The following is a 6,578-nucleotide window of genomic DNA, read 5'->3' as shown; positions in this document are numbered from 1 at the left end:
GCTGAAGCATGAGAATCACTTGCACCAGGAGGCGGAGGTTGCAGTTAGCTGAGATCATGCCAATGCACTCCAGCCTGGGCGACAGAGCGAGACTCTGTCTCAAAAAAAAAAAAAAAGTTCGTTGATTATCTGTGTTTGGATTTATTTTGGGACTCTGTATTTGATTCCACTGGTCTATGTGTCTGTTTTTATGCCAGTATCAGACTGTGTTGGTTACTATAACTTTGTAATATAAATTTAAATCAGGAAGTTTCATGTTTCCAACTTTTTTTTTTCAGAATTGCTTTGGCTATTTGGGGTTTTTTTTGTGGTTCCATGTGAATTTTAGGATTTTTTTCCTATTTCTGTGAAAAATGATACTGGAATTTCAGTAGAGAGCAAAACATTTTTTATCATATTGACTGCATTCTCTTACCTCAGTACAATAATTCAAAATTAATAAAAAAATAGGCAACAAAGGATATATTTCTAGAGATTAAAAAACCTTCTAAAAACTTAAAAATCAAAAAATTATAACAATGATAATTACCAACAGTAGTTGAGCTTTTATGATGTGCCAGACATTCTTCCATGCATTTTACATGTTTAGCTCATTTAATCCTGATAGGACCCCAAGTAAGAACTGTCATTATTTCCACTTTACAGATAATGAAACTGAGGAACAGTGTGATTCTGCCCAGAGGCAGAACACATCCTTTTTAACACAATCCCAAACTGCTTCTTCACTTAGAAAATAATATGTAACTGAGGCCAGGGGTGTGGCTCATGCCTGTAATCCCAGCACTTTGGGAGGCTGAGGCGGGAGGATCATGAGGTCAGGAGTTTGAGATCAGCCTGACCAACATGGTGAAACCCCATCTCTACTAAAAATACAAAAATCAGCCGGGCGTGGTGGCGTGCACCTGTCATCCCAGCTACTCAGGAGGCTGAGGCAGGAGAATCGCTTGAACTTGGGAGGCGAAAGTTGCAGTGAGCCAAGATTGTGCCACTGCACTCCAGCCTGGGTGACAGAGCGAGACTCTGTCTCAAAAAAAAAAAATAAGTAACTGAATGATCATGAGAAGTATAATATGCAGAACACATCGAAAGTGTAGTAAGTACATAGCCATAAAAAAGAACAAAACCACATACTTTGCAGCAACATGGATATAGCTGGAGGCCATAATCCTAAGCGAATTAACGCAGGAACAGAAAACAAAATACCTCATGCTCTCATTTGTAAGTAGGAGCTAAACTTTGAGCACACATGGACATAAACGTGGGAACAACAGACACTGTGGACTACTAGAGCGGGGAGGGAAGTAGGGGAAGTGGACTGAAAAACTCTCTATTGGATACTATGCCACTACCTGGGTGGTGATGGGATCCACACCCCAAACCTCAGCATCATGCAATCTACCCACGTAACAAACCTGCCATGTACCCCTTGTATCTAAAATAAAAGTTGAAATTTTTCAAAAAGTGTAGTAAGTGGGAGGTGTATAATCTCAGATGCTTGTATCTTAGTAAAAAAGAAACGACTGAAAAGTAATGACATAAACACTCAACAGAGTAAACCCCAAAATAGTAGATACAAGGAATTAATAGAAAGCATAAGTTGATGAAATGATAGAGAAGATTGTAAAGCCTAAAGCTGATTGACTGTAAAAACAAATAAAATGGAATGACTTGCAAGCAAGATTGAGTAGAAAAAATGAGATAAAGCACACACACAAATACACTAGGACTAAAATGAGTCATTGCAAAGAGGGAATAGAGGTTTTGAAAACCCTACGAGAATGCTGTTCACAACTTAATGACAATTGAAAAAAAAAGATAAAATGGACATTTTCCTAAAATAAATGTAACATATCAAAAGAGACTTGAACAGAAAACTTGCATACATCAATAATCATGCTTCCATGATTTTATCAGCAGTTAAAAATCAAACCATCAAAAACGCAATCTTACAAAGAAATGTTACATGTATAACAAATGGTTTTCTGAATAATCTAATAACTTTTTAAACAGAAAAAGAGGAATGTTTCCCAACTTATCTTATGAACACATATAATTTTGAACAGAACAATACAAAAATAAATTATAAGCCAATTTCATTTGTGGATATAGTTACAAAATCCTAAATAAATTTTGGCCAACATAGTTCTAGCAATATATAAATAAGAATATATCATGAACAAGTTGGATTTATCTCAGAGTGCAAAGATAGTTTAAAATCAGAAAATTTTGCCCTCTCCCTCTCCCCACGGTCTCCCTCTCCCTCTCCCTCTCTTTCTACGGTCTCCCTCTCCCTTTCTTTCTACGGTCTCCCTCTCCCTCTCTTTCCACGGTCTCCCTCTGATGCCCAGCCGAAGCTGGACTGTACTGCTGCCATCTCGGCTCACTGCAACCTCCCTGCCTGATTCTCCTGCCTCAGCCTGCCGAGTGCCTGCGATTGCAGGCGCGCGCCACCACACCTGACTGGTTTTCGTATTTTTTTGGTGGAGACGGGGTTTTGCTGTGTTGGCCAGGCTGGTCTCCAGCTCCTAACCGCGAGTGATCCGCCAGCCTCGGCCTCCCGAGGTGCCGGGATTGCAGACGGAGTCTTGTTCACTCAGTGCTCAATGGTGCCCAGGCTGGAGTGCAGTGGCGTGATCTCGGCTCGCTACAACCTCCACCTCCCAGCCGCCTGCCTTGGCCTCCCAAAGTGCCGAGATTGCAGCCTCTGCCTGGCTGCCACCCCCTCTGGGAAGTGAGGAGCGTCTCTGCCTGGCCCCCCATCGTCTGGGATGTGAGGAGCCCCTCTGCCTGGCTGCCCAGTCTGGAAAGTGAGGAGCGTCTCTGCTCGGCCGCCATCCCATCTAGGAAGTGAGGAGCGCCTCTTCCCAGCCGCCATCCCATCTAGGAAGTGAGGAGCGTCTCTGCCTGGCCGCCCATCGTCTGAGATGTGGGGAGCGCCTCTGCCCCGCCACCCCGTCTGGGATATGAGGAGCGCCTCTGCCCGGCCGCGACCCCGTCTGGGAGGTGAGGAGCGTCTCTGCCCGGCCGCCCCGTCTGAGAAGTGAGGAGACCCTCTGCCTGGCAACCGCCCCGTCTGAGAAGTGAGGAGCCCCTCCGCCCGGCAGCTGCCCCGTCTGAGAAGTGAGGAGCCCCTCCGCCCGGCAGCCACCCCGTCTGGGAAGTGAGGAGCGTCTCCGCCCGGCAGCCGCCCCGTCCGGGAGGGAGGTGGGGGGGTCAGCCCCCCGCCCGGCCAGCCACCCCATTCTGGAGGTGAGGGGCGCCTCTGCCCGGCCGCCCCTACTGGGAAGTGAGGAGCCCCTCTGCCTGGCCACCACCCCGTCTGGGAGGTGTACCCAACAGCTCATTGAGAACGGGCCATGATGACAATGGCGGTTTTGTGGAATAGAAAGGGGGGAAAGGTGGGGAAAAGATTGAGAAATCGGATGGTTGCCGTGTCTGTGTAGAAAGAGGTAGACATGGGAGACTTTTCAGTTTGTTCTGTACTAAGAAAAATTCTTCTGCCTTGGGATCCTGTTGATCTGTGACCTTACCTCCAACCCTGTGCTCTCTGAAACATGTGCTGTGTCCACTCAGGGTTAAATGGATTAAGGGCGGTGCAAGATGTGCTTTGTTAAACAGATGCTTGAAGGCAGCATGCTCGTTAAGAGTCATCACCACTCCCTAATCTCAAGTACCCAGGGACACAAACACTGCGGAAGGCCGCAGGGTCCTCTGCCTAGGAAAACCAGAGACCTTTGTTCACTTGTTTACCTGCTGACCTTCCCTCCACTATTGTCGTATGACCCTGCCAAATCCCCCTCTGCGAGAAACACCCAAGAATGATCAATAAAAAAAATAAAATAAAATAAAATCAGAAAATTTTGTTTATTTTGTCATACCAACAAATTGAGAAAAAATGGGAGCATCATGGGAAATACAGAAATAGCTCTTGATAAAATTCAACATCACTTCATGATAACATTTTGTTTTTACCAAAACAGGAGTAGAAGAGGACTTTCTTAACCTATTTTTTATTTCCCAAGAAAACAAAAACCTGAAACAAATTTGGCAAAATTTCAGATAAAGCCGAATAGTGGGCCCACAGGTGTTTGTAATATAATTCTCTGAACTTGTTTTTTTGTTTGTTTGTTTGTTTTTGGATCACCTGGATGTTAAATGAAAAAATAATTGAAATAATGGAGGAAGTGATAATGTAGAAAATTCATAAAATGAGACACTGATGAAAGGACAGAAAATAAATGATACCAAAAAATTAAGTGAAAGGGAATAAGATGACTATTGTTCATACCACATTTTACATGGTTAGACAATAAATATATGAAGGGTTCAAAGAAACGGACAATAGCAAAGAAGAGATGAAAATTTACAAGAAATAGAGAAAGAAATGAGAACAAAAGAAGGCAATCTAAATGAAAAGTAGAATGAAACAAAAAGGCAATTTGAAGCTAATAGAATAGATTTTTGGAAACAAGGGGTGTTAATTTAAAAACGAAGAGGAGGAGGAGAAAAGAGACAACCCTCTTCCCAGTTCTGATAATATATTAAGCAAAACACTTCTTTTCAGGGTCAAGGGTTTCTTTCCCTCACCTGTAGTAGAGAACAAATTGCTACGCTCAAGTCATTTTTTTTTTTTTGGATGTTGAAATGACTGGTGTGTAATATTTTTTAAAGCCTTCATTTTTGGTCAGCGTAAGTTTCCTTTAATTATTTTTCCATTTCTAGTTGAATTTCATTTTGAGGCTTACCATATCAAAGTGAGTATAAAGTTCTACAATTTAGTCATTGTGGATTTCATGTCATTTATGATGAAAATGGAAATGTGTAGTTTACTTGAGAAAATTGTCTTCTTCTGTAACATCTGACTCTTCATCCTCATTATCATCTGCTTGCTGATCCTTTCTTAGTTGGTAGTGGATACCTGTCCTGTTCCAGATACACACTTAGCTGACATGATCTCTGGTGAGGTGACTTTGAATTTGCTCTTACCATATCTAAACGAGATGAATAATCTGGTGCATACAGGGAATTTAGGAAAACATGTAAATCTAAATCTTCATGCTTATCAATCTTTTGTATATTCTGGTAGGCAGCTGTGTAGACCTCTAAAGCTTTGCTGTGAAATAACATTTTGATTGTGATAAATTTGGAAAATATAGTCTTTATAGCCTTTATTTTCTGCCTTTCAAAGTTGTCAATAGTTTCCTCCAGATGATGACTTGTTCGGGTTGCATCCATTGCAGCTCTTTGTAATTCTGTGTCTGCCTTTGGTCCAAAGGAAGAAGGACCAAGCAATTGGCGCAGCCCCAAACCCCTGCTCCAGGGACTCCCTTCAGGAATGAGCCCCTCAGGCTCTCAAAGAGCCACTCCTCATGTGGTTTCTGGCTGAGCTGGGCAGTAACAACCTTAAAAAAACATTTTTTTTTTTTTGAGACAGAGTCTTGCACTGTCAGCCAGGCTGGAGTGTAATGGCGTGATCTTGGCTCACTGCAACCTCCACCACTGGATTCACACCATTCTCCTGCCTCAGCCTCCTGATTAGCTGGGATTACAGGCGCCCACCACCACGCCTGGCTAATTTTTTTTTTTTTTTTTTTTTGTATTTTTAGTAGAGATGGGATTTCACTATGTTGGCCAGACTGGTCTCGAACTTCTGACCTCGTGATCTGCCCGCCTCAGCCTCCCAAAGTGCTGGGATTACAGGCGTGAGCCACCATGCCTGGCCTAAAAAACGTTTTTTTTAAAGGTCGAAATTCAAAGGATACAATAACATGTCGATCAGATGAGGTGGGTTTCGCTGACCTGTTCCTTCTACCTGAGTTAATTGCTTAGCTTCTCGATTCCTTGCTGTGAATGTTGCTTTGGGGTCATCCCGTTTCATTTTTACAATGGTTACATAAGCTTTCCAGGGTTCAACTACTTTGGCTTCAAGTCTTTCAACCTCTGCTTGTCAATAATCCTGAAGTTTGGCAAACTCATCAGCAAAGTTCATCAGGCCCAGCCTTAGATGTGGGGCCTCTGTAGCGGCATATGAGTTGATTTCATTCATCCTCGGTCCACTTTGTCTCGCAGTCTGGCAGTTTTCCGCACATAGGCAGCAAAGACTTGGCACAGTTCTCCCAAATGCTTCTCCATATTTGAGACAGCTGCTTGCAGTTGCTTGGTTTGAGCGTTCCGGTTTTCCAGTGTGCATCTCAACATCTTGCCTGGCGCACAACCAGGGGACCCAGGGGAGCCAAAGCCGGGGACTCTAAGGTGCCTGGGTGCGCGCTGGGGTGCGAGCCGCCCTCACATCATGATTCTGTGGTTCTGTGATGACTGATGACCTCTTTGTGAAGTCAGAGAGCTGTCGGCCAGGCAACATCTCTAAGTGGGGATGGAGGCAGCCATCTGCTGGTTGTAATTTTGGGGCAAAAGAACAGATAGCTACACTGTCCCCAAAATATCACACGCATGGAAGGATGTTGGAAATTAATGTTGGTAAAAAGAAAGTATATGAAAATGTCTTTATAAATTATAACATGCTATATAAGTGGCATTACAGTGATCAAAGGTAAAGCAACACATATTATAAGGATAAG

General features: G+C 43.4%; 1 pseudogene across 1 annotated transcript; it reads right to left on the bottom strand.

Moving 5' to 3' along the window:
• Nucleotides 1-3,845: 3,845 nt before the first annotated feature.
• On the bottom strand, nucleotides 3,846-6,300 carry CIBAR1P2 (CIBAR1 pseudogene 2; annotated as a pseudogene). The gene has a single exon (NR_003612.2). The product of NR_003612.2 is annotated as a CIBAR1 pseudogene 2 (transcript).
• Nucleotides 6,301-6,578: the final 278 nt, after the last annotated feature.

Source organism: Homo sapiens, chromosome 4 (assembly GCF_000001405.40).
Source record: "Homo sapiens chromosome 4, GRCh38.p14 Primary Assembly".
NCBI classification, from domain to species: Eukaryota; Metazoa; Chordata; class Mammalia; order Primates; family Hominidae; genus Homo; species Homo sapiens.
Note: the sequence above shows the minus strand (reverse complement) of the source record. Positions and strands in the feature narration are given on the sequence as shown.